Raw genomic sequence first — 27,808 nt, 5'->3', positions numbered from 1 at the left:
TCTCCTGCCTCAGCCTCCCGAGTAGCTGGGACTACAAGCACGTGTCACCACACCCAGCTAATTTTTGTATTTTTAGAGACGGGGTTTCACCATGTTGGCCAGGATGGTCTCAATCTCTTGACCTTGTGATCCGCCCGCCTTGACCTCCCAAAGTGCTCAGATTAAAGGCGTGAGCCACCGTGCCCAGCCGAGAGACATTTTTTATTGTCACAGCTGGTAAGACCAAGGCAGAAAGGACCAAGGAAACCTCCCAAGGTATCACAGCTAGTGAATGGCGGGGTTGGGATTCGAACCTGGGCAGAAGGCTGTCAGAGCCTATGATCTTGACTCCTACACGATCCTGCCCCTTACACCCAAAAACAGACAATGAGGCTGCACAAAACGGACCTTTTGCCTGAAAACAATTGTCTTTTTCAGTATTAACTCTGCACAGAGGGACTCAAGATGTCGTTCTTCTGACCCTCGTCCTCCCTCCAGCACACAGGCCCAAAAGAAAACACCTGGTATGAATTGCCTTCCCTAAAGCAGTGGTTACAACATTTGCAAAGAAATCACCTGAGTGTTGTCTTTGACATTCCCCAAAGATTCTGATTCCCTAGCTCTAGGGAAGAGCACAGGAGTCTGCATTTTAAACCAGCTGCCCAGGCTCTAATGGGTCTGATTAAAGTAGCTCCAGGACTATCTCTCAAGAAACTGGGCTCCGAAACCTTGGGCCTAGTTCAGCATAAAAGCCGCTAGGATCCAGGTGAGACATTAAATAGGCTTGATTTTCCTATGCTAATTTCAGCAGGTAGGGGCTTTCCTGAGACAGATCAAGAGATCCACAGGGATGAGTGTGATGGCTGATTAGTGCTGCCTGCCACAAGTGCAGGAATGGGGGTAACGGTTCACTTGATCTGTCTGCTGACCCTGATCAAGAGTCAATGTCAGCATCACAATCATTCCAGACTGCAAGCTCTCAGCCTTCCGCCAGTTCCTGGCAAGAGGCCTCACCATAAGCTACACTCCTTTCTTTACACACTGGCTATTATTAGTGTGCATAATGCAATTTTTGTTAACGTGGTTATTAAGATAAGAGCAGGATTAAAGCCTGTGTGTTATTGGTGGCAACCACCTCAGACCTGCTGTTAGGTTTTTCACAGCTCCTCTTGCGGCTCCCTCACTGATGCCCACGGCGAACCTCACCTTCAGAGAACACAGGTTCAGCAACGCAGCACTGCAGCCTGGGGAGCACGGGCGGCCAGGACAGGCTTGCTGCTCCCCTTTCCCTTTCTACAGGAATTAGCCCAGCCAGAGGAGGTAGCCGGGAGGCAGACAAAGTCCTCTGCACACTGAAGTAAGACAAATGCCACAGGAAACAGGAGCTATGTCCTTTGTGCACTGCTGCCTGCCCAGTACGCAGCACAGATGAAAGGCCCAGTGCAGGAAAAGCATTAACCAATAACTGTGGAATGAAGGAAGGAAGATTGGTAGTGGGCCAGTCAAGCAACAAGTAAAAAAAAAAGAGTGAGAGAGAGAAAGAAAAAAGGTTGCAACAAGCATGGCCTCTGACCCTCATAGAAAATGACTGATGGGGCCGGTCATGGTGGCTCATGCCTGTAATCCCAGCAGTTTGGGAGGCTGAGGCGGGTGGATCAGTTGAGGTCAGGAGTTCGAAACCAGCCTGGCCAACATGGTGAAACCCTGTCTCTACTAAAAATACAAAATTAGCCGGGCGTGGTGGCACACACCTGTAATCCCAGTTACTCGGGATGCTGAGGCAGGATGAATGGCGTGAACCCGGGAGGCGGAGCTTGCAGTGAGCCGAGACTGCACCACTGCACTCCAGCCTGGGCAACAGAGCGAGACTCAGTCTCAAAAAAAAAAAAAAAAAAAAAAAAAGACTGATGGGTCTGATGGATCCCAAATGAGGGCTTTCACCTGCAACACAGGATCTATGGAGACACTGAAGATCTGCCCCCATACAATTGTGCTAATTGGAGGACCTGGCCTGAATCTTTCACTGCTTTCTTGAGATCTTACAGTTTTTATGAGTGACTCTGGCACAAGGGAAATGGATCAGATAGGAGTATTTAAAACTGGTTTGGGGAGAAGTTCTTCTCAGGTGACAAAAAAAATATAGCAACAACACTACCCTCCTGATGTCACACAATAAACGAACGCATCCTTTCTCTCCGCTCTCTGGGGCAGGCAATGTGAAGTCTGCCCTTCCTAGGACAGTGGGTTCCTCACTGTCCACTCCCCTATTTTCTGACTTTTCCCATGCTACTTCATTCCCCATCCCCAGATCTCCTCATCCTTCAATAATGATAATGGTAGAAATTATGCTGAAATTCACCAATGCATCCTCTGGAGCCAGGTACTGTATGCAGTGGTTTATATGAATTCCCTCATTTTGTCCTCCTGACAGCTCTGAGAGCCGAATTGTTGTCATCCCCATTTTGTAAATTAGAAAACCAAAGTTGAGTCTGCCTCTTCCACGAAGCCTTTCCTGACTGCCCCAGTGGATACCTTTGCTCCCTTCTCTCAATTCCTGCCCGTGTCTGGAGCCCAACGCAGTCACAGCATCAGGCACTGGTCTGTGATCCTAAACAACAGAAATGTATTTTGCTTATAATTTTGACAGCTAGGAGTCCAAGAACAAGGTGTTGGCAGGGTTGGTTTCTCTGAGGCCACTCTCTTTGGCTTGTTGATGGCTGTCTTCTCCCTGTGTCCTCACGTGGTCTTCCCTCTGTGTGTGTCCGCATCCTCATCTCCTTTTCTTTTCTTTTCTTTTCTTTTTTTTTTTTTTTTGAGATGGAATTTCGCTCTTGTTGCCCAGGCTGGAGTGCAATGGTATGATCTCAGCTCACTGCAACCTCCACCTCCCGGGTTCAAGCGATTCTCCAGCCTCAGCCTCCCAAGTAGCTGGGATTATAGGCGCCCACCATAACGCCCAGCTAATTTTTTTTTTTTTTTGTATTTTTAGTAGAGACAGGGTTTCACCATGTTGGCCAGGTTGGTCTCGAACTCCTGACCTCAGGTGATCCACCTGCCTCGGCCTCCCAAAGTGCTGGGATTATAGGTGTGAGCCACTGCACTGGGCCCTCTCCTTTTCTCCTAAGGACACCAGGCCCATCCTAAGGGCCCCAGTCTGGCTTAATTGCCTCCTTGAAGACCTTATCTTCAAATACAGTCACATTCCGAGGGACCAGGGGTGAGGACTGCGCGTATTTTGCAGAGACACAGTTCAGCACATGACCCCTGAATCATGGTTTGCAGCCCCCAGGAAAGAATGACACTTGTCACCCCCTCTGCCCATAAAGCAAGCCTGGAAGGTGAGGACAGCAGGCATTGTTATTTTTCTCTTCCCCACGGTTGCCCACACTTCCTGATGCTTGGAGGTGGCCCATCTCAGGTTACCGCTTTGCCTGGGGAGCTGGTGCAGCCAGAGTTGCAGCCCAGGCCTCGGATTCCACATTCTCTCCTCTTTTCAAGGCACAGCAAGAGACTGGAGAGACCAGTGCCTTTGCTCGATGTGACAAGTTAATAAAGTGTCCTCCTCTCTGGGCTGTAGTGCCAGTGTCTCCGCCGTGGGAACCTGGCAGTGTCTCTCCTGGCAGCCTCCACAGGCCCAGTGTCATTCTGGGACTCAGCACAGGTCTTCTCCATTTCTGCACCTGTACATTGCAGGTCACACCTGAGGATAGGACGACCTGAGGGCTGAGTGAGCTGACACGGTGAAGAGCTGCCAGCGCCTGCCCCAGTGGGGACTCCCTATTCTGTTCCGCATGCACCCAGGACTCCCCTTGAACACAGCAGTCTCCCCCTGCCTGGGGGACGGTGGGTCAGGGCCAACACTGTGCAAGAAGCCGTGGGAAGCCACCTCCACCCGCAACAAGCAGCTCAAAGCATCAGCAAGTCAAGAGCGTGGTTTTTAACTACAACAGGCAGAGAGGAAAGAGATGGTGAGTGTAAGGCTCTCACTCCCAGGCATTTACCAGGGCTCTGTGGTGCATCTCTTCCTTAGCTCACTCCTGGCCAGGATGTTCTTCCCTGACCCTGTTGCAGGTCACTGACGTCCCCAACCATGAGGACTTGTGATGGGCCCAGTGGGAGGTCGCAGCCAGGCACTATGATTGGGGGACTGAGTGGCTCTGAAAGATGTACCCTTCTTTCCCTTTCAGCTCAGAAGCAGCAGCCCCAGCTCTCGGCAGCTGGCTCCCTGCAAGCTGCTGCACACACGGCAAACCTCCTCTCCACGCCCGGCCCAGTGTGGTTCCCCCAGCAGATCAGGCCTGGCTGCCTCCGTGTCCACACCCTGACCTGCGGCTGAGGCCCATTTCTGTCTCCCGCGGTGATCCTACCTCCCAGCACGCTCCCATGTAGCTGTTGATTGTTCTCCTTCCCTTCCTCCCTTCCTCCCATCCTTTCTCCCTCTTCCCTGTCTGTGAATGGCATTTCTGGAGTGTGAGAGAGGCCCGGGACCGCAGGTATGTTTCCTGTCTGCCCGTTCTAATCAAAGGCAGATGCCTGCGGTGCGTCTGGCCTCGCAGAAGCGGAGAACCCATCCTCGGAGAGGGGCCAGAGGAGAACTGTGTGCTCCTTTATAGCTGCATGCTCGGGTAAGGGCTCTCTTTTTGCCTTTTACTATTTTAACTTCAGAAAGGCTACCCATCCTGTCTGGGGCTCCTGCCCTGCCTAGGACAGTAAGGTGGTATAGAATCGTCATCAGCTGTGAGCCCAGATAGTCCTGAGTTCAAATCCTGTGCCATCATTTCTTAGCTTCCCCTACCTTTCGTCCTCTGGAAAAAGGGGATGCTAGGTGAGGGACGAGGGAACAGTACAGCCACCAGCCCTGGCTTGCTGTTGGAGGGATGAGGCGGCAGAGCCCGCAGAAAGGTGGATACTTCATAGTGCCAGCCACGTTCCCGCCCCACCCCACAGTGCCCGAACCTGCAGGCGAGGCTGTAACCACGAGGAAAGCATCAGGGACCCGGTCACTCGTGCTCATGGACGACCTGCCCCTCCCAAGTCAAAGGTCGTCGCAGGAGAGCTGCCCGGGAAAGGAAGCGAAACCTGGCATTGTTCCAACAACCTCTTAGGCCCTGAATTTCTGTTTCTTAACAAAGTCACTGTTAGATTGTGTTGAAAAATAAGATCTAGGCTAACTTCCTTCTTGGGTCTTGGGACACTTTCTTGCTGTTATATGATCAAGGTGGGGGCTGCATAACTATTCCCCGCTGCACATACTCCCTCCCTTCCCCCTCAACTCCCTCCTTCCCCAACGCCCCCCACCCAGTGCAATCTACTTACTGTCTCTCCCACAGTGTTCCCCTAACAGGTTCCTGCTGGCACAAAGGGTCCCACCTTTGAAGACCTTTGGGTTTAAATCCCAGCTCAGTTCCTAACCAGCTGTGTGACATAGGAAAGTTGCTTAACCTCTCTGAGTCTCAGGATCGCCATCTGCAAAATCAAAGGGCTGATGGCAACATCTTCTTCTCAGGACTCATGGAAAATTAAACGAGCGCTGCTTCCAAAGATGTTTGTGCAGGGTGGAAACTCAGCACAGGGTCGTGTCCATTTCACAGCCTTCCAAGGGCTGCAGCCTAAATGTCTCCAGCCACGGGAGAGGATGACAGCTGCCCTTCTGTGGCAGGCCTTGGAGTAAAACTCCCAAACCATCCCCAGCCAGCAGAGGCTGCCCAGCCCAGCCCCTCCAGCAGGGCGGCTCCATAGACTACAGGGCAATACGGCCCAGAGGCTGTCCCTGTCCACTCCTGTTGCGCCAAGCTGGCTCCGGGAGGGGCTGGTGACTGGGAAAGATGCTACAGACACAAGTTTGATTTTTCATTAAATCCTCTAAACATTGTGAAAGGAAAATAAATATTGGGACCCCAAAATCACTAAGCCAAAGGATAAAGTCAAGCTGGGAACTGCTTAGGGCAAACCTGCCTCCCATTCTATTGCTAAAAAAAAAAGATGGCTACTAAGATTCAAAAGCTACATACCTCCCTCACAAGGAATTTCCTTCTGGACAAATGACAGACAGAACTCAAAGTCATCCCTCTGCTCGCCGAGATAAATGCATATCTGATTGCCTCCTTTGGAAAGGCTCATCAGAAACTCAAAAGAGTTTCACTGGGCTCCGTGGCTCATGCTTGTAATCCCAGCACTTTGGGAGGCCAAGGTGGGCGGATCATGAGGTCAGGAGATCAAGACCATCCTGGCTAAAACGGTGAAACCCCGTCTGTACCAAAAAAATACAAAAAAATTAGCCAGGCGTGGTGGCGGGTGCCTGTAGTCCCAGCTACTTGGGAGGCTGAGGCAGGAGAATGGCGTGAACCCAGGAGGCGGAGCTTGCAGTAAGCCGAGATTGCACCACCGCACTCCAGCCTGGGCGACAGAGCGAGACTCCATCTCAAAAAAAAAAAAAAAGAATGCAACCATTTGTCTCTCACCTACCTATGGCCTGGAAGCCCCTCCCTGCCTAGAGTTGTCCCGCCTTTCTGGACAGAACCGATGTACATCTTACACATATTGATTGATGTCTCATGTCTCCCTAAAATGTATATCATATGGTTTGGTTGTGTCCCCACCCAAATCTCATCTTGAATTGTAGCTCCCACAGTTCTCAAGTGTTGTGGGAGGGACCCAGTGGGAGATGATTGAATCATGGGGCCGGTTTCCCCCATACTGTTCTCGTGGTAGTGAATAAGTCTCACGAGATCTGATGGTTTTAGAAGGGGTTTCCTTTTTGGCTTGGCTCTCATTTCCCTCTTTGCCTGACACCATGTATGACATGCCTTTCACCTTCCATGATTATGAGGCCTCCCCAGCCATGTGGAACTGTGTGAGTCCTTTAAACCTCTTTTTCTTTATAAATTGCCCAGATTCGGGTATGTCTTTATCGGCAGCATGAAAACGGTCTAATACATGTATAAAACCAAGCTGTGCCCTGACCACCGTGGGCAAATGTCATCAGGACCTCCTGAGGTTGTGTCATAGGCATGCGTCCTTAATGTTGGCAAAATAAACTTCCTAAATTGACTGAGACCTGTCTCAGATATTTGGGGTTCACAATGTCAAAGGTGATGCTTTATGGAAAATGTAGGTTGGCATTATGGAAAATCTAGAAAACATATACAAAGTCAAACGTATTTTGAAAATCTTATGATCAACCCCACACTGTGAATGATGGAGTCTTTTTCCATCCTCCACCTCTGACTTTGGCTCACTGGTTGATGACATCTTATTGTACATCCTGCTTTGTATCCTGACTTTGAGCCTACCATTATACAGTCATCAGCCCAAGGAAACGGTCTCACTATTTCCCAGTTTTATTGATGAAGATATTCAGGCTTTAAATAAGTTGGCCAAGGTCATAGAGGTCAAGGTCATATGGAAGAGCCACTTGCCTCCTTTCCACAGGCTGCTGATGGTGATCTCCACTTCTGAGAAACAACCACAAATAATAACAAAAGAACTATTAACCCTTGGCCTTCAAAGAGCACTTTATTCTCTGAGAAGTACTTTTATTACTGTTATTTCTTCCTGTCCTTCAAACACCCCTGCAAGACAGACAGGAAGGCTACCAGTATTTTCAATTTGTAAATGAGGATCCAAGAAGTGAATGACTTGGCCGTAGTCATGGAGGTGGAGGCGAAATAAAAGACGCAGGCTATGCCCTTTGCGTGCCCCACCACCTTCTCAGATGGCGCTGGGCTACCTCCCAGGGCTTAGGCAGAGTGAAGAAGAAGAGATGAAAGCTAAGATGAGGCAAACAGGAGGTGAGAGAGAAGTTCTGTCAGGAAATTCACAGGAGGGCTGCAGAAAACTCATCTTTGCCCGCAATGCCTACTCCAGCCGGATATTAACACAGTGGGCTCCACACCAACATTCTGATAGATTCTGAGCTACAAGCTTCCAGAATATTAGCAGCTGAGCTCCTCCCCCTCGGGCCAAATATGCCACCAAAAAGCTGTTTCCCAGGTGATTTATTGTAGGTCAGAACCCTAATCAAGCTCCAATTCAATTTAACTGCTGGTGATTTTAGCACAGTGCTCTGAGCTTCCATTTAAATGCAAGGGGAATTGACTTTTGGAGTAACAGCTTCAGGGGAGGCTTTCTTCCCATGCCTAGATGGAGCAGAAGCTCACACTGTGCACCCAGCAATGAACTGGGACCCTTTTGGAGGCACCTGACTCGGGCTTCTGGATTCTGTCAGGAGGCAGATGTGCCATTACCAAGAGGCCAGGCATTAGAAAGTGCTCAGCACGGTTCTCGCAGGGCAAAGGCAGCCCCCTGCTCAACTCACTCATACCTGAGGAGATGTGAAGCAAAGGTCACGGAAGGCCCAAGGTACTCCTGGCACCCCTAGACCCCAAAATACAAAGGACCAACAGCGCCATCAGGCACACACTCTCTCTCTCTGCCCCTTGGTCTCCCTCTGTCTCTTCAACTCTATATCTCTGTCTCTCTTTGTGTCTCTACCTCTTTCTCTCTGTCTCTCTGTTTCTATCTCTTGGCCTCTCTCTGTTTCTGTCTCTATATATTTCTCTCTGTATCTGTCTCTATCTCTCTGTCTGTGTCTCTATTTCTCTCTCTCTGCATCTCCGTCTCTCTCTCTCCACATCTGTATCTCTGCCTCTCCCTCTGTGTCTCTATCTTTCTCTCTGTCTCTATCTCCTCCCAGGGCGGAGGAGCTCAGCTGCTAATATTCTGGAAGCTTGTAGTTCAGAATCTATCAGAATGTTGGTGGGGAGCCCTCCGTGTTGATATCTGGCTGGAGCAGGCATTGCAGGCAAAGATGAGTTTTCTGCAGCCCTCTCTCTGTCTCTGTTTCTGTCTCTGTCTATCTCTTTCTCTGTCTCTTTCTATCTCTGTCTCCATCTCTCTTATCCCTCTGTGCCTTTCTGTCTCTGTCTCTATCTCTGTCTCTTTGTCTCTGTCTCTATTTCTGTTTCTGTCTATCTCTGTCTCTCTTTCTGTCTCTCTGTCTCTGTCTCTCTCTGTCCCTGTCTCTCTGTCTGTCTTTCAGTCTCTGTCACTGTCTCTCATATGCTCAAGGGTATTTATGCTACGTGGGCATTTGCAAGGAGCTTTTGAGTCTGAGTTATCATCTGGGATTTCTATCAGGCTCCATCTGCTTCCAGAACTGTGTACAAACAGTAACATCCAAAGCTCAGAAAAGGGAGGACATAAAACATTTTCATTTGTTCTGACCAGAAAAGCCATATGATCTAGAATGTGTGAAAGAAAGTCAGAAAAAATAAGGGAAAACAGATTGTCAGTGCTGGTCATAGCCCACAAGAGTCTCTCAGACCCAAACAATGTGGCCCAGACGTACATAAAACAAGCCCACAACATATGCCTGTGTCCAACAGCACAGCTTTCTGAGCCACTCCTCCTTGTCTACTGGAAGAGCAAATGAACCTGGTTGAAATCCTGGCTCTACAGCTTTCTACTATGTCATCTTGAGCAAATTCTTAACTTTTCTGAGCCTCAGTTCCCTCCACTGCAAAATAGGACTAGTAATTTCTACTATGTAGGAGTATCATGAAGATTAAACCCTTTAAAAACCTCTAGCATGGTGTCTACCACGTCACAAGGGTTCAGTAAATGGTAATGGTGGTGATGGCTGTTGTGGTGTGGTGATGGTGGCAAAGATGATGGCACTGAAGGTGGTAATGAGAGTGAAGGTGGTAATGGTGGCAGTGGTGGTGGTAGAGGGATGTGGTGATGGGAACTATGGAAGAGGAGATTAAGATGGTGCTGGTGGAGGTGGTAGTTGCAGTAGCAGCATCAGCATTTTAGGAAGACCAGGCATATCAGTGACAAACTGCTCCTGCTTGTCAGATGCATTTCTCCCTAAAAGACTTCCAGAATCACCATTATGCATTCCAATCCTGCTATGATTGGATATTTGACCCTCCAAACCTCATGTTGAAATTTCATCCCCGATCTTGAAGGTGGAGCCTAGTAGGAGCTGTTCGATCACAGGGGTGGATCTCTCATGAACAGCATGTGCTATCCTCATAGTAACAAGGGAGAGTTCCTGCTCTATTAGGCCCCAAAAGAGTCCCCTTGAGAGCTGGTTGTTAAAACAAGCCTGGCACCTTTTCCCTTGCTCTTGCTTCCTCTCTCATCATGTGATCTGCACACACCAGCTCCCCCTTCACCTTCTGCCTTGAGTGGAAGCTTCCTGAGGCCCTCGCCAGAAGCAGATGCCTATGCTACGCTTCTTGTACAGCCTGCAGAACCGTGAGCCAAATAAACCTCTTTTCTTCATAAATTACCCAGCTTCAAGTTGAACAATGAGAACACATGGACACAGGGAGGGGAACATCACACACTGGGCCTTGTCAGGGGGTGGGGGGCATGGGGAGGGAGAGCATTAGGAAAAATACCAAATGCATGCAGGGCTTAAAAGCTAGATGATGGGTTGATGGGTGCAGCAAACATGGCACATGTATACCTATGTAACAAACCTGCACGTTCTGCACATATATCCCAGAACTTAAAGTAAAATAATTTTTTAAACAAATCACCCAGCTTCAGGTATTCCTTTATAGCAACACAAACAGACTAAGACAAATCCCTTCAGCCTGATTCAGACAATAGCTGGTTATGAGTCATTTCAACACAGCAAACGTTGAGCCAGGTCTGGGCTAAGGCCTGGGAGTGCCATCATGAAAAAAACATGTGCATTCTTTCGCCTTTCTCTTGACTCTTTCACTTCCTGCCTCCTAAGTACTCAGCTTTCCAAGCACAGAGAGGCTTTTTTACCAGCTGCTATGGTTTGAATGTTCATGTGTTGGAAACTTAATCCCCAATACAACAGTGTGAGAAGTGGGACCTTCAAGAGATGCTTAGGTCGTGAGGGCTCTGCTCTCATGAATGGATTAATATCATTATCATGGCAGTGGGAGAGTTATCTCAGGAGTGGGCTTGTTATAAAAGTTAGTTTTGCCCCCCTTGCTCTCTTACTCTCCCTCTCTTGCCTTTCTGCTTTCCGCCATGGGATGAAGCAGCAGAAAGGCCCTCATCAGATACCAGTACCATGCTCTTGGACTTCCCCTCCTCCAGAAACATGAGCTACATAAACTTATTTATAAATTACCCAGTCTGTGGTATTCTATTATTGCAACACAAAATGGACAAAGACACCTGCTCTCCCTGCTTCCTCCCCATCTCCCTTTCTGCCCTGAAGTCCCGATTTCTTGTTGGCTGTTGTACGTGAGATCTTACACTAGGGAAACCCAAAATGAACAACAAAAATACTGATTTTTCTTCAGTATAAGCCAAGAACTTCCTCCTGCCTTGCCCTAAACTGACCTTGATGAATCCCCTCAACATTCAGAGAACAAACTGTTTTTAAAAGGTGAGCCTTGGCTCGGCCCGGTGGCTCACGCCTGTAATCCCAACACTTTGGGAGGCCAAGGCGGGCAGATCACTTGAGGTCAGGAGTTCGAGACCAGCCTGGCCAATATGGTGAAACCCCATCTCTACTAAAAATACAAAAATTAGCCGGGCATGGTGGCATGTGCCTGTAGTCCCAGCTACTCAGAAGCCTGAGGCAGAAGAATTGCTTGAACCCAGGAGGCAAAAGTTGCAGAGAGCCAAGATCGCACCACTGCACTCCAGCCTGGGCACCAAGAGCGAGACTCCATCTCAAAAGAAAAAAAAAGGAAAAAAAGGTGAGCCTCATAATTGTAAACTCAAATTGGATTTAGAACAGAAGACCCAAGAACTGAGTGACAAATTTTAAAAGGCAATATTGACTCAAAGCTAATTTTACCCTATGCACACTGAAGGCTCTTGAGAGACAGAGAGATGTGTCCTGTCAAATTTTGCATACGACACATTTTTCTATGGAGATTTCAATAACAATGATATACGTGAAGGAAACAGCAGATCTGGAGTCAAAGCTCTGGGTTCAGGTCCAGGTCCTTTTAGTAGCAACTCATTCAATCTCCCCAAGCCTCAATTTTCATATCTTCAAATTGGGGATAATTTCCCATGATGAGGAATGGATTGGTTTTTAAATGGTGAAGAGCTCTGCAAATGTGAGCATTTTTTATTCTTCTGGCTTATTTGTACATCTTTCCAGAACAACCAACTTTCATTCTTTAGGCAGGGCTGTGGCTCCCCGCTGTCCCTGTACAATGTCTTTTAGTCTATCTCCTTCTGTTTTCAAGCCCCTTCCTAAAAACTTAAGTGGTAATGAGGTCTGTGAAAAACTCCCTTGAAATAGGGTCAGGGTAGGACCACACACTGCATCAGATTGTAGCCTATGATAACGGAAACTTCTGTAGATTGAGGTTGAGGGGCTAGAAAACATTTTGCCGGGGAATTTGCATATATATGTATCTTCCTGGGCTTGGCAGTCTCTTCCTGGGAAACTTTCCCACACAACAGGGAATGAAGTGATTTTTAAAATCTACTCTGCCCTTTTCCAACAATTCCATTCCCATTCCCACAAGCCGGGGAATTTTTAAGGGGCAAGGTGAGGAAAGCAAACTGCTGAGAGATTGAAATATTCCAACTGAGCCTTATTTAGAGAACATCACTGTACTGCAGCATGAAGGGCAATGCCTGGTATGTCACAACAATTCAAGAAATACTTGGGATAGCTGATGGCTGGGAGCCTGAGAGCCTGCACCTGTTCTTCCCTTTTTCTACAATTCTTTCTACTTATCCCCCGGTCACTTTTTTTTTTCCAGCAAAACCTGAACTCGATTTCTTTTTTCTGGGAAGCCTTCCCCTACCATCATCCTGTACTCCCACCTCCTCTAAATGGCCCCAGAACAACTTGGACATAAATCTCTAGACCCCTTTCATACTTTACTGGAATCTTTGGTTCAGTGGCATCCACTCCATTAGTCTGTGAGCTGCTTTAAAGCAAAGACTGTACTTTCTTTTGTGTATCTTCACATCTCCAAACCCAAGAAAATTGGCATGAACCTATTAATTGACATCAAGAGCTCATTTGGAATTTATTCTCCCAGAGTTCTAACATTACAAGTTACAATTATATCAATGGAGAAATAAGCCAAAATAATGTGGAATCCCAGAAATCAGTGGTGACAAGGACACACATAACAAAAGATCTTCTTCCACTCACCCAGGGCCTTAAAAACAATGAGCATCAAGAAGAATGACTATGTGGCCTCCTAAGAATTGGTGCTTATGCCAGAGCCTCTTCTGTGACTTCCCCAGCAGCAGGGTAGTCTGGCTGCTGTGGAGCCAACCTGGCTCAAAGACACCTGGCTTCCTTCTTCAATTCACTTATGAGCCCTGATATGTGAGTAAACTTCAGGGTCCTCAACAATGCAATGGGGGTACTCATCCTTCACCCCCATCTGTTTCTCACCACTTTCCAAAACATCGACTTTATTTTATTTTTAACCATGGGAAAATATCCTAAGCTTCTCATAGCCAGGTGGTGCTCCCAGAATCTTCCCCACATTCCACCACATGTCTGCCCCTGTCACTGTTAAAGTTGGGTCTGCTTGGGAGCCAAGAAATTCTCATGAATCCCAAACCAGAAAACTTGTTTCTAACATATCTTTCAGGGGTCTTGGTGCCATGTTTTCAAATCCCAACATGTAGCTGATTAGACAAACGGAGCTTTGCCTTCTTGCTAAGCAGCAGATGTCATCCGCTGACTGAAGGGAGAGTCTTTTAAAACTCATGGCACATATTAACATAGCAGAGAAAAGTGACTACACTTGCCTTCACTCAGAGAATGTAGCTGGACAGCTCCCCTGAGAAGTGTCTCGCCCGGGTTCAATGCAGTCTTGCAAGTAACTTCACAGCCACTTTTCCAGGGCACTGCTGGATGCTGAACAGAGGATGAAGAATTATTCCACAGAAAGCCAGACCGGGGCTTGAAAAAGCCATTGACAAAAAAGAAATATACATGGCTGATATTATAAAATTGAACCATTCGTTTTGGAAAATGTACAAGTCAAAAAGCACATTTATCCACTCACTGCAGGTGAGAATGTGAAATGCTAACTTTCTGACAGATTACTTAGAAATACTGAGTTACTTAGAAATACTAAATCTGCAAATTGGGGCGGGCACGGTGGCTCATGCCTGTAATCCCAGCACTTTGGGAAGCCAAGGCACACGGATCATTTGAGGTCAGGAGTTCGAGACCAGCCTAGCCAACATGGCGAAACCCCATCTCTACTAAAAATACAAAAAAACTAGCGGGGCATGGTGATGTGTGCCTATAATCCCAGCTACTCAGGAGGCTGAGGCAGGAGAATCACTTGAACCCGGGAGGCAGAGGTTGCAGTGAGCAAAGATCTCGCCACTGCACTCTAGCCTGGGTGACAGGGCAAGACTCCATCTCAAAAAAAAAAAAAAAAAAAAAAATCTGCAAAATGTACCCACCCTTTGAGTCAGTAGTTCCACTTCTAGAAATCTATTCCAAGGAAATGATCAATGATTATGGTTGTGATAGACGCACAAGGGTCTATACTGCTACATTGTTTGAATAGGAAGGATCTAGAACCAATATAGTTGAACAATATGTCCATAAGAATTTATAATACGTACATCTGATTGAAAATTGTAGAATACCATGCAGCTCTGAAAAGCCATTCTACACAATAGGGTTTGGCAAACAGTTTCAAGCGCCTGAGGGTGAATACTTCAGGCTTTGCGGGCCACAAGCCAAAATCAAGGATATTATTTGTAATACTTACAATAATGAGAGGAAACAAATTTCCACACATTTTTTGGACAAATTAAAAATACAAGAATGATTAATTACAACTTTTTGTAATACAGGTCAACCAGTGAGAATAATCGAATTCTTTCTGGACTAACAATATTTTGATGAATTGGAGTTCAAAGTCAGTTTTCTTTACCATCAAATTGATTTGAAATGTTTGTCTGTAAAAAAACAGCTGGCAGACCAGATGAAAACATACAACAGATCAGATTTGGCCCGTGCCTATACTTTGCGGATCTCTGCTATAGAGAAATACTTTGCTCACATGGAAGAACATTCATGAAATATTGTTATGCAGAATCTGAAACAGTATAAGCAGTGTGTATAGCAGTCCTTTGTACTATTCCCCTAATATCTCCAGTTCTCTGCCTTTCTAGGCACAGAGTAGAAGTGCATGTCCCAGCCCCTTTGTGACCACATGTGACCACAAGACTAGTTCTAGCCAATTTTCTCACTGTGGAAATAACCCATGTTATTCTAAGGCCACAGACTGGGAGAAAATATTCGCAAATCACATATCTGGCTTCTATCCAGAATATATTCTTTACAGTCTCAAACTCACTCAGTAAGAAAACAAACAACCCAGTTTTTTTAAATGAGCAAAAGATTTAAATAGACATTTCACCAAAGAAGACATATGGGTGGCAAATAAGCATGTGAAAAGACACTCAATGTTATTAATCATTAGAGAAATGCAAATGAAAACTACAACCAGATACCATTTTGCACCTATTAGAATAGCTTAAATTAAACAAAAAAAAAAGAACTGACAATACCAAGTGTTGGGAAGGAAAAGAAGGCAGTAGAACTCCCACATATTCTTGGTGAAAATGTAAAACAGTACAGCTGATTTGGAAAAGTGTGGCAGATTCTTATAAAGTTAAATATACCACATGACTCAACAATCTTGCTCCAATATATTTGCTCAAAAGATATAAAAATCTATGTTCACACGAAGACCTATATGTGAATGTTTATGGCAGCTTTATTTGTGACCATCAAAAACTGTAAACAACCCAGATGTCCTTCAGCTGGGGAACAGATCAACAAATTGCGGTACATCCGTGTAATGGAATGCTACTCAGCCAGGAAAAGGAATGCAATTATTGAGACATACAATCACATGGATGAATCGTGAACATAATTTCTAAATGAAAGTAGTCAGACTCAAAAGGTTAAATATTGCATGATTCCATTTATATTACATTGTAGAAAAGGCAAAACTATAGGGACAGAGAACAGATGGCTGCCAGGGGCTGGGTGTAGCGGGAGTGGATGATCACAAAGGAGCAGCATGCAGGGTAGAGCAGGGGGTTGGTAGAAGTTCCTTTGTCTTGATTGTGGTGCAGTCGCATGATTATGCATTTGTCAAAACATAAAAAACTATACACCAAAAAAAGTGAATTGTACTGTATGGAAAATACAAAACAGAGTTTTTTTCGATGTTTGATGCTGATTCTGGAAGGAAGGAAGGAAGGGAGGAAGGGAGGGAGGGAGGGAAGAGGGAAGGAAGGGGAAAGGAGGGAGTAAGGGAAGGAAAGAAGGAAGGGAGGGAGGAAGGAAAGAAGGAAGGAAGGAAGGGAAGGAGGGAGGGAGGGAAGGAAAGAAGGAAGGGAGGGAGGGAGGGAGGGAGGGAGGGAAGGAAAGAAGGAAGGGAGGGAGGGAGGGAGGGAGGGAAGGAAAGAAGGAAGGGAGGGAGGGAGGGAAGGGAGGAAGGAAAGAAGGAGGGAAGGGAGGGGGAATGAAGGGGAAAGGAGGGAGTAAGGGAAGGAGGGAAGGAAGGAAAGAAGAAAGGAAGGAAGGGAAAGGGAAAAAAGGGAGGGAGGGAGGGAAGGAGGGAAAAGAAAAGAAAAAAGGAAAGGAAAGAAGAGAGGGAAGGAGGGAAGAAGGGAATCAGCAAGAGAAGGAAGGGCTGAAGGGTGGAAGAGAGAGAAAGACCACTGCATGGGCCGTGTTGATGAGCAGCTCAGCCCTGCTTAGCCCTGAGATCTAGCCTGGCTGCTGCCCCTCCTTGGGCCCAGTGTGGGAGTGAGCTGAAGCATAGGCTGCAACTTGGAAGCTGATGGAGCATCACTCGCTACTGAGGCTTTCAGGCAAAGGGAAGCCTGAAGTCACTGGAGCAGCCCAGCGAGTGCCCTCAGTGCAGACCTGCAAAGGCATCTCCTGGCACCTGCCTCTGCCCTTTGCAAACCCTGGTCACGCAGCTCCCTACATCTGCAGGCAGAGGTTCTGCCACATCCACCAGTTCAATTCTTTTGGGCTCAATCCTGCACAGAAGCAAATGGAAGTCAGAGAAAGAGGTCGAAAGCTCATCGCAGATTCAGCAGCCTGCACTGAATGCCTCACTGAGCCCAGGCTGAGCAGAGGGTATTCCTGCCCACCGTTTTGCCCAGTAATCTTATTCCTGAGCCACACATTTGAAGCCCACATATCCCAGTTGTCAATGTGCAGATTAAATGAGACGAAGTGCAATGTCTAACACCAAGGATCAGCAGATAAATGAATGCTGACATGTGGCTTTTGTTCCTCCCCTTGATCCTGAGGTTAGCATCCTGGCCTGGGAGCTCTGGTTGAAGGTGGAAGGTAAAGCAATCAACCAATGTTTCATGAGCACCTGTACAGATGAACATCCTGCCACCGTCTGTGTAGTGCAACTGGGTGCTCCCTCACCCCGCCCCTCCCAGACCCCACAGGATCAAAGAGGCTGGGTGCTACCGAGAACAAGCCTTCAGCAGAAGCTCGATTCCGCAGAGAACCAGACCTTCGGCTCCCTGGGGATGGGGGCGGGTGTTACTCAACTGGGGTCCCAGTGAGCTTGGCAGCAAGCACAGCGTTGGGTCCCATCTGGTGAAGAATGAATGAATGAATGAATGAATGAATGAATGAATGAATTCACACATGCACTGTCACCTGTATCTGTTCATACCAAAAGCAAATGATCAAAATCAGTCAATAAAGCATAGAAAACACGGTATATCCTAGTGCAGGGCTTCATGGGCCAGCTGGTGGCCAGTCAGACTTAAGATCAAATCCCACCCTGCTGCTCGCTGGCTGGGAGGAGCTGGACAAGCAATTTCCTCTCTGGGAGCCATTTCTTCATTAGTACAATAGGGGAGCATGTGAAATCTCCCTCATAGGGTTGCCGTGGGGATTAAATGAAGTAATTCATGTAAAGCACTTAGGACAATGCCAGGAACAAAGCGAGTATCAATGAATGGCACCTATCGTTATCACTGTCATCATCGTTATCACTATTCAGCTGTGGCAAAAGAATAGAGCCACAAAAGTTGAAGCGGTGAAGTGGATGCTGCCTGCTCTGAAGCCTGGACTCTACTGACAGACTTCATGAAAGAGGCCCAATTAACAGGTCCCCTTATGGTGTCTCCATCTCTGTGATAACAAGGAAGGGCAGGGGACAGACCATCGTAATGGTTCTTTTTTTTTTCCTCCTATACCTCCCAGAATGGAAGACAATAGCAACATCAAACAGCCCCCGACTGCTGTGTCTTGCATGTTGTCCCTGGCACCCTGTGTGTGTTGTTGCTGTTTGTGCTCTGTTTGCTTATTTCTCCATCACTCTCCTGGGCAAAATTGATCCCCTCATCAGCAGCTGGGAGACAACCGGCTATGATCTCACGCCTTTGGAAGGTCAGCTCAAGAGGCAGCATCTTCCTAGCAACAGTTACCAGGGAAGATTATGAGGGTGGACTCCACTCCCAGGGGAGAGGAAGACATGGAGGGGTAAATAATTGGCATTTGTTTAAATGAGGGGGGGCGGGGGGTGGGAGGTGGGAGGGCTTGCCACTGTGAAGCGGGTATGCAATCTCCCCGGGTAGTGTGCCCCTCATTCCCTCTGTTAGAAGTTCTGGCTGGCCTTTTTGTCTTAAAGTATTAAGCTGAAAATTATTCAGTCCAAAGATTCTTAACCTTGTCAGACCCAACATCCCATTTTATAAAATGTTCAGGACAATAATTCACAACATCCCTTTGGCTATTCTTAAATGAAACTATAGACATATAAGCTGCCTAAGTACATAATTTTTTTTTTTTTTTGAGACAGAGTCTCTCTCTGTCACCTAGGCTGGAGTGCAGTGGCGTGATCTCCGCTCATTGCAAGCTCCACCTCCCGGATTCACGCCATTCTCCTGCCTCAGCCTCCCAAATAGCTGTGACTACAGGCGCCCACCACCACGCCTGGCAAATTTTTTGTATTTTCAGTAGAGATGGGGTTTCACTATGTTAGCCAGGATGGTGTTGATCTCCTGACCTTGTGATCCGCCCGCCTCGGCCTCCCAAAGTGCTGGGATTACAGGTGTGAGCCACCATGCCCGGCATAAGTACATAATTTTTAAAACCAATATAATGCCCTGTAATATAAATGAGAAGTAAAGTAATACACAATACAATGAAAGTCTGGTATGTTTTCCATTTGTTCACTAATACACCTGGAAAACATAATGAATACATCAGGTGCTTACACTATGTATTCATATGTACGGTATGTTATCTACATTGGTCTTTTTTTTTCTTCTGCCCCTCCTCTACCTCTGTACTTTCTAGTAGACATTAGAGACTAAGTAATTTATAAAGAAAAGAGGTTAAATTGGCTTATGATTCTGCAGGCTGTACAGGGAGCATAACACTGGCTTATGTTTCTGGGGAGAACTCAGGAAGCTTCCAATCATGGCAGAAGGTGAAGGAGGAGCAGGCATCTCACACGGCAAAAGCAGGATCAAGGGGCAGGGGAGGTGCCACACAATTTTAAACAACCAGATCTAGATCACTAGAATAGCACCAGGGGATAGTGCTAAACCACTCATGCAAAATCCACCCCCATTAGCCAGTCACCTCCTACCAGGCTCCACCTCCAGCACTGGGGATTACAATTCGACGTGAGATTGTGGGCAGGGACACAGATCCAAACCACATCAGTGACAGATACGAATCACCAAGAATCCAATGGTTAGAAGTAAAGTGTGAGAGCACGACATCAGCACTTCAAACCCTAAGAAGGGTGTTGTCATCAGTGATGTGATTTCCCAAAATGTGAGCAGTTCTTGGTAAAGCTAAAAGCAAAACAAAGTACACACTTTCTTCCATTTGCATAGTACTTACCTTCCTCGAAAACTCAGTGTATATTAAAACCACAAAATAGTGGATTGAGTTTATATGTAAAACAGTGGGATTTGAGGCCCAGATCATCACAACAAGTTTTGTACCCAGTGAATGACCAGCAGAGGAATGTCAGTGGGATATGGCTCAGGATGCCTTGTGCCCCGCAGGGTCCCATGACTCTCTGGTCCCCACCAACCAATGCCAGTAGAACCCTGCCTCATTGCTGTGACGGTCAAAAATGTCCCCATGGCTGGGCGCAGTGGCTCTCGTCTGTAATCCCAGCACTTTGGGAGGCCGAGGCGGGCGGATCACGAGGTCAGGAGTTTGAGACCAGCCTGACCAACATGGTGAAACCCTGTCTCTCATAAAATTACAAAATTAGCAAGGGGTGGTGGCGCACATCTGTAATCCCAGTTACTCAGGAGGCTGAGGCAGGAGAATCACTTGAACCCGGGAGGCAGAGGTTGCAGTGAGCCACGATCATGCCATTGCACTCCAGCCTGGGCGACAGAGAGAGACTCTGACCCAGAAAAAAAAAAATGTCCCCACAAATTTCCCAAATGTTTCCTACGAGTACCAGTGGTCTAGTTCAATCCCCTCAATCTAAGGGTGGATAAACTGAGGTTCAGAAGAAAAGAAGTGGCTTGTTCAAGAGAAAGCCAAGATGAGAACCAGAGTCTTCCAATGTCCAGGTCGGGGATTGAACAATTAACTGAAATTCTGTGAATCATCCCTCACTCCCTGGATGTGGAGACATGAAGCTATGATCACACGATGCCAATATTCATGGCTCTATTTATTATCTCCTCCTCTGTCCATTTTGAAGGTCAACTTTCCTTCTGATGACCAGTAATTTCTGGCCATGTACTAAGTTATGAGCAATTTGAAGCTCTGCTTTCGGCAGAAAGACATTGTTTTTTAGAGAAACATGTCATTTCTCCACTTTGGTGCTTATGTTGTTTGGGATGGCTCAGCAATACAGTCTGTTGATGCTGGGCCAGTGAAGGAGGATAGGCTAAAGGCCAGTCTTAGGCCACTGTGAAGGGTTTTGATTTCACTGTATGTGCAAAGGAAAGGTTCAAGGACAAGAGTTTTATCACCTGTTTGCCTTTTTAAAAATTATTAAAGGTCGGCCCGGCGAGGTGGCTCACACCTATAATCCCAGCACTTCCGGAGGCCGAGGCGGGCAGATCACGAGGTCAGGAGATTGAGACCATCCTGGCTAACACAGTGAAACCCCGTCTCGGTCAGGAGATCGAGACCACCCTGGCTAACACAGTGAAACCCTGTCTCTACTAAAAATACAAAAAAAAAAAAAAAGAAATTAGCCGGGCATGGTGGCGGGCGCCTGTAGTCCCAGCTACTCAGGAGGCAGAGGCAGGAGAATGGCGTGAACCCAGGAAACGGAGCTTCCAGTGAGCCGAGATCGCACCACTGCACTCCAGCCTGGGTGACAAAGCGAGATTCCGTCTCAAAGAAAGAAAAAAAAATTAAAGGTCATATGTTAATTAATAGTTTCATTTTTAGGAGAGACATTAATTGATTGACACATGTTCAAAGGCAATGTCCAGAATGTGAAATTGAAGAAGGACTTCATGAATTTTACAAGTATAATCAAAGACCACCAACAATTTTTACTTTTTCCTTCAAAAGCTAAGTGTAGTGTAGCGCCCCCCGTAGTCTAAGCTGGAGAAGAATACTAACTGCCTGTTTTTCCTTCTGTGTCAGCGAGCCCTATCTGTACTCCCCAGTTTCACCCTCCCTGAGGCTCAGCGAGTTCCTGCTTCACCCCCCTAGCTCAGCTGCAAAGTTACAAGGTTGATACAGAAACATGGTTTCCCAGGGATGTGGAACATACAGTATAGATAAATGTAAAAGACTCATCAACTGCCTTCGTTCTCGATTCTGTAAGTACACTTCCTGCATCATGTAGCTCCCGGCCACCGACTACTTAAAAGGTGGCTGCTTTCTTTGTCCGGGGCTCAGACTTTCCTGGATGCTGGTCCTACTGAGCCAGGTGATCACCTTTTAATAAAGACCTTTCCTGAACTCACTCTGTTCGGTCTCTCCTGTCTTTGATTGTCCCGCAACAAAATAACTGTGAACTAGACACCCAAGAAAGAAGAGACAGCTGAGTGTGTCTGGTGGGGAGGGGGCTGTGATGGTAAGATGACTTCAGACGTGGAGGTGCCCATGAAACAGCCACATGGAGATGCCCAGCAGGCCTTTAGCAAAGTGGTCCGAACTTTGGAACAGAGGAGTTGAGCTGAAAGCCCAGCCCTGGGGGTGATAACCAAGGAGAGAAGCATTGGCCACCACAGGATTAAGTTTAATCGCCCCTAAAACCATGTGCTAAATAAGAAGAAAGGAAAAAAACAGGTTAAAGATAGAACCCTCAGGAAAGTCCATGTTTTAGTGGCAAATAGAGACAAAATGCCAAGAAAGGATACTGAGAAAGAACAAACAGGAGATAAAGGAAGAGAGTGTTGTCAAAACAAAATAGCCACTGAGGACAAGGCCCCATGCTAAGACCTTTACAACACACACCATCTCATTCAATCCTCACAATAGACCAAGAGCTCATGCCTGGAATCCCAGCACTTTGGGAGGCTGAGTTAGGCAGATCGCTTGAGCCCAGGAGTTTGAGACCACCTTTGGCAAAATACCAAAACCCCATCTCTACAAGAAAATACAAAAATAAGACAGGCGTGGTGGCACGTGCCTATAGTCCCAGCTACTAGGGAGACTGAGGCTGGAGGATCTCTTGAGCATGGGAGGTCCAAGCTGCAGTGAACCAAGATGGTGCCACTGCACTCCAGCCTGGGCAACAGAGGGAGACCCTGTCTCAAAAATCATCATCATCATCCCCGCAACAACTCTGACAGCAAGGTAGTATTTTGGTCCCCCAATTTATCCTTCAGGAAACCACAGAAAAGAAAGGTTAGGTTACTTGTCCACAAATACACAGCTAGTAAGAGGTCAAACTAGAATTTGAAACCAAGTTGTCTGACTACAAAGACTACACGTTAACCTCCTGTTGGATTAAAGAAAAATAAGAACTAAAAATTGTGCCTTGAATCTAGCATTCATAACAAAATGCTTGGAAAAAGCCAGGTTTCGGCTCACACAGTTGAGTTGGGGGCTGTGACTCCCGCCCCCGGCAAGCATGGCGCAGGACTCAGAAGGACAGCAGGCTCCATCCATCTCCATCAGCGATTCACAGCCTCCTGCCGTCCCCAGCACAAGCGTGAAGACGGAAAATTTCTCATTATGGATTACATTATCTTCTCAATAAAGCAAAAATTGCCCCCCAATATAGATCTTCCCAGACAAGTGAGTAAATGGACGAACTAAGAAAACATGTGTCCAGTCTATTATACAGAGCAAATGAATTTGATTTTAAAATGTGGAAAGCAAAAAATTGATTGTATCACTGACATTGGTCGTTTCTCGCTCTTACCCTTAACAATCTGGTCATCCACACGACACAGTAATTCCTACACTCTCAGGAAGAGTTTTCTGACAGGCAGCAAGAGATGAGCTCTAACTCCACCCCACAAAAGAAAACCAAGCTTGAAATAACTGAGCCAAGCCATCCCACAAGAACAGTTTCCTGCCATTTGAATGAAACTCTCCTTATAGAGAATAGATGATGTTCGTTGTTTGTCCTGGACTTCGAGGGATACTTAGCTTTGCCAGTCTCCTCCAGCAGAGGAAAAATCCAGTTATGGTGAAAATCAAAACAACGATAGCCCTCCTGAGGTTGTGGTGATGGGGATTAAGAGACTGGAGAGGCCGGGTACAGTGGCTCACGCCTGTAATCCCAGCACTGCGGGAGGCCGATGCGGGTGCATCACGAGGTCAGGAGTTCAAAACCAGCCTGGCCAAGATGGTGAAACCCCGTCTCTACCAAAAATACAAAAATTAGCTGGGCACGGTGGCGGGCGCCTGTAATCCCAGTTACTCGGAAGGCTGAGGCAGGAGAATCGCTTGAACCCGGGAGGTGGAGGCTGCAGTGAGCTGAGATCACGCCACTGCACTCTAGCCTGGGTGACAGAGCAAGACTCCATCTCAAAAAGAAAAAAAAGAAAAAAAAAAAGACTGGAGAACAGCCAGGGAGGCAGGAATGGAACCTCCTCTTTTCATGGCTGTCCTCAACACTGCAGCCCTTGCCTCACTTTGCAGCCAGCTGTGGGGAGCTGGGGAAGGCTGGTCCCACCTAGGGGTTGGGATATGGAGAGGAGCCCACTGGCCCTCGGGGACTCCAGCTTTAGAGGGCTCAGCTGTATACACAGAACTCTGCATTGATTGAATGCCCAGGGGGCTTTGGTGGAGGCCTTTACAAGTATGTGCCTCGGAGGGAAGAAACCGGACACTGGGAGTGAACCACCAACTCTGCTGCGGGTGAGGGTCAGGAAAGGCCACTGAAGCCGTGACACTGAGCTGAGTCTTGACAGATAAGTGTCCCCAAGCAGATCAAGGGGACCAGGCCACATTTAGGCAGAGGGAGGCGTGGAACAAAGCCTGAATGTGGCAAACACTCGGAAACACTAGTCAGTGGTCACTCGCCAACCTCAGCATGCAGCCAAGTCACCCGTGGAACCTGATTCAAATGAAAGGGCTGGTTCTCCAGCCCAACCAAGAAAAAAATTCCAGTTCCCTAGGTCTGGAGAGGGGTTTGGGAGTATGCATGTTTAACTACCATCCCAGGTAATGTTTATGCAGGTGGTCCCCAGAAGGAGCTGAGGAACATCACTTACTGGATGTACGGGCTGGCTCCCAAAGGAAGAAGGCGGAGGCATGAAATAAGCAAAGAGAGATAAACAGGACCTTTTATTCCTGGAGGCTGAGAGAACAGGGGACAGACTGCCTTTTAGAAAGACCACTCTGAACAGTGGCAGCCTCTCCCACCAAAATATCAGCCCTTGGGGGTCTGTTTTTGCTGCCACTGTCTTGCTACCTGAGTGTTCAGCACATAGTGGGTACACAGAAATTATTTCTGGAATGAATGAATGAGTGAGTGAATGGATGTTCTTTGTTTTGGTTTTTTTTTTTTTTGAGACGGAGTCTCGCTCTGTTGCCCAGGCTGGAGTGCAGTGGCGCGATCTCGGCTCACTGCAAGCTCTGCCTCCCGGGTTCGCGCCATTCTCTTGCCTCAGCCTCCCGAGTAGCTGGGACTACAGGTGCCCGCCACCACGCCCGGTAATTTCTTGTATTTTTTTAGTAGAGATGTGGTTTCATCATGTTAGCCAGGGTGGTCTTGATCTCCTGACCTCGTGATCCAGCCGCCTCAGCCTCTCAAAGTGCTGGGATTACAGGCGTGAGCAACCGCGCCCGGCCAAGTGAGTGAATGGATGAATAAATCAGTGAATAGTGGCAGGATAGAGGATGGAAGAAGGGTGGGGGGCTCTTACTGCAGCCCTGAGTGTAGGTAAGGACCTTTCTACGCCAGGGGAATGGGGCTAGAAAGAAGAGGCAGAATTTGCCATCATCTGGTATATTCGAGGCCATACAGGCCTCACAGTGCTTCTTGGAGGTGTTTCTGTATTTCTGACATGTTCAGAAATGTCTACAAGACTAAAGCAGTCGTGAGATATAATCAGGATTGAAATGTATTCCAAAGCTTGTCCCCCGCCCTGCCCCAGCCCTGGGAAATATTATTCTTCAAGCACAGACAGCTGGGCAGTGGGATGCGGACTCCGCATTCTCCAGACCAGAACACACCCAGGCCAGGTGGACACATTTGCGGCTCCTTCCAGCCAGAGGTTTCATTCTGGGTTTGGCAGTCATTTTGGGGTTTCTGTGTCCTAGAGATGTTGAACTCTGTACTTAATCTAGGTTTAATAGGCAGCTATTATGTTAAATAGAGACCAGCTGAACTGATTATTTAAGACATAGTTATGGTCATTTAACAACTATGTGGTTTGACTGCTACATCTCAAGAAAGGTTTTCCAGCCCCTGGCTATGATTACCATTTTGGTAACTGTCCTCACCTAGCCGCTGCTTGCCTGAGGGCCCGGAAGCTCCCCACTCTGCCTCTTTCCCTGGTCCCCTGACTGGTCTCTTTGCCGAGTGTCGGAGCGTCCATGGAGGTCAGGGAACTGGAGCTGAGGCTACGCATGGCTGTGCAGGAGGGCGTGGCCCTGCAGGCAGGGTGCCTGCCAAGCACCTGTCCACAAGGCTCTGGATTTGTCTCTCAATGGGAGCCTGGCTTTGCTGGAGAGCTCAGAAGCCACAGCTGAGCCCAGGAGGGGACGAAGTCACTTGGAACCCCTCTAGAAGAAAAGAGTCTGTGTGTAAGAAAGAAACTGGAAGAAAACTATAGGGGTACAAATTCGCTAGAAGTTTCCCTAGTGCAAGGTTACTTAAAGGAACATTGGACCAGTGCTGCTGCGACCTGTTCTAACTGGCCCACAAATTGAGGATAAGAATTCAGGAACTTGCATAGCACTTTCAAATTGCCACAGTACCTAAGCATCCCATCAACGTGCCCAGCTCATTGAACAGGGTGTAGACCAGTTTGCGCATTGAACTCCCAGCAGAGGCCCTCCTAGCTGCAACTAGTCATGTGTGAGGACCATAGAACTGTCCACCAAGGACTGGAAGTGTTAAAGCTGGTCTTCGAGCTCAGATGCTTTAAGAACCACGGCTTGGGTCGGGGGAGGGGGGAGGGATAGAATTAGGAGAAATACCTAATGTAAATGACGAGCGAATGGGTGCAGCACACCAACATGGTACATGTATACATATGTAACAAACCTGCACGTTGTGCACATGTACTCTAGAACTTAAAGTATAAAAAAAAAAAAAAAAAAAACACCACGGCTTGAGTGCAGGATCTCTCACCTCATTTGTTTCCCCACCCGGCCTGTGCCCTTTGAGCACATAGCAGGACTTTTTAAATCTTCCTTATGTACGTTTAGAAATGCTTATAATGGGCCGGGCGCGGTGGCTCATGCCTGTAATCCCAGCACTTTGGGAGGCCAAGGTGGGTAGATCACGATCGGGAGATAGAGACCATCCTGGCTAACACGGTGAAACCCTGTCTCTACTAAAAATACAAAAAATTGGCCGGATGTGGTGGCGGGCCCCTGTAGTCCCAGCTACTCAGGAGGCTGAGGCAGGAGAATGGCGTGAACCCAGAAGGCGGAGCTTGCAGTGAGCCGAGATCGCACCATTGCACTCCAGCCTGGGCGACAGAGCAAGACTCTGTCTCAAAAAAAAAAAAAAAGAAATGCTTATAATCGGCCAGGCACAGTGGCTCACACCTGTAATGCCAGCACTTTGGGAGGCTGAGGTGGGCAGAGCAACTGAGGTCAGGAGTTCAAGACCAGCCTGGCCAACATTGTGAAACCCCATCTCTACTAAAAATACAAAATCTCTACTAAAAATACGAAAAATACAAGCACTGATCTGAAGCACTTGTACTTTTATATTAAATCACTTAGACCTATGAGGTGGATATACTTCTAATCCCATTGTGCAGATGATAAAACCAAAACAGAGAAAAGTTAAGTAACTTGCCTAAGTCAATATAACTAGCTGGTAAATGGTGGGTCTAGGGTGCAAACCTAGCTAGTCCGGCTCCAGAGTTTGCCCAGAGTCAGTTGGTCACACTCTGTACTTCTCAACATCCTATTTGTGCCACAATGCCTTTCTTTATTGTTCAAGCCTGCTCTAAATGAATGTTCTTTACTTGCAGCCCAAAACATTCTAATTAATATGTGGTATCAATAAATATTCATAATTTGCCCTCTCATTCCCTATTATCTGTTTTATCTACTTTCTCTCACTAAAAGATCGTATCATTTTCTTTTTTAGATCTTGAGTCCATAATCAGTCCTGTCTAGATGCTTTGTGTGCCCATCCAGAGCAGTTGTTCTCAACAAGGGCAGAAACTCATAACAAGGGACATACTAGAAATGTGGGAGTTTTTTCATTGTCATAATGATGAAAGAAGGTGT

At 47.2% G+C, this 27,808-nt stretch overlaps 1 long non-coding RNA gene across 2 annotated transcripts in view, besides 4 other annotated features; it reads right to left on the bottom strand.

Annotated features, from left to right (window-relative positions):
• Nucleotides 570–1,136: an enhancer, noted in NCBI's record as "OCT4-NANOG-H3K4me1 hESC enhancer chr15:93726361-93726927 (GRCh37/hg19 assembly coordinates)". NCBI's record gives its function as "activates a minimal SCP1, AML or CMV promoter by ChIP-STARR-seq in naive H9 embryonic stem cells {active_cell/tissue: H9 hESC(naive)}" and the evidence as "EXISTENCE:reporter gene assay evidence [ECO:0000049][PMID:30033119]".
• Nucleotides 1,137–1,704: an enhancer, noted in NCBI's record as "H3K4me1 hESC enhancer chr15:93725793-93726360 (GRCh37/hg19 assembly coordinates)". NCBI's record gives its function as "activates a minimal SCP1, AML or CMV promoter by ChIP-STARR-seq in primed H9 embryonic stem cells {active_cell/tissue: H9 hESC(primed)}" and the evidence as "EXISTENCE:reporter gene assay evidence [ECO:0000049][PMID:30033119]".
• Nucleotides 3,256–3,793: an enhancer, noted in NCBI's record as "H3K4me1 hESC enhancer chr15:93723704-93724241 (GRCh37/hg19 assembly coordinates)". NCBI's record gives its function as "activates a minimal SCP1, AML or CMV promoter by ChIP-STARR-seq in primed H9 embryonic stem cells {active_cell/tissue: H9 hESC(primed)}" and the evidence as "EXISTENCE:reporter gene assay evidence [ECO:0000049][PMID:30033119]".
• Nucleotides 3,794–4,332: an enhancer, noted in NCBI's record as "H3K4me1 hESC enhancer chr15:93723165-93723703 (GRCh37/hg19 assembly coordinates)". NCBI's record gives its function as "activates a minimal SCP1, AML or CMV promoter by ChIP-STARR-seq in primed H9 embryonic stem cells {active_cell/tissue: H9 hESC(primed)}" and the evidence as "EXISTENCE:reporter gene assay evidence [ECO:0000049][PMID:30033119]".
• Nucleotides 11,865–27,808, bottom strand: part of LOC101927025 (uncharacterized) — an 83,190-nt gene continuing 67,246 nt past the window's right edge. For both annotated transcript variants that reach the window (XR_007064769.1, XR_243235.4), the window contains one exon: nucleotides 11,865–13,825. This is a non-coding gene — a long non-coding RNA (uncharacterized LOC101927025). The remainder of the gene's footprint in view (nucleotides 13,826–27,808) is intronic.

The sequence above is a fragment of the Homo sapiens genome, chromosome 15 (genome assembly GCF_000001405.40).
Source record: "Homo sapiens chromosome 15, GRCh38.p14 Primary Assembly".
Classification (NCBI taxonomy): domain Eukaryota; kingdom Metazoa; phylum Chordata; class Mammalia; order Primates; family Hominidae; genus Homo; species Homo sapiens.
The sequence above is the reverse complement of the archived record's forward strand: the minus strand, read 5'-3'. Positions and strand labels throughout refer to the sequence as shown.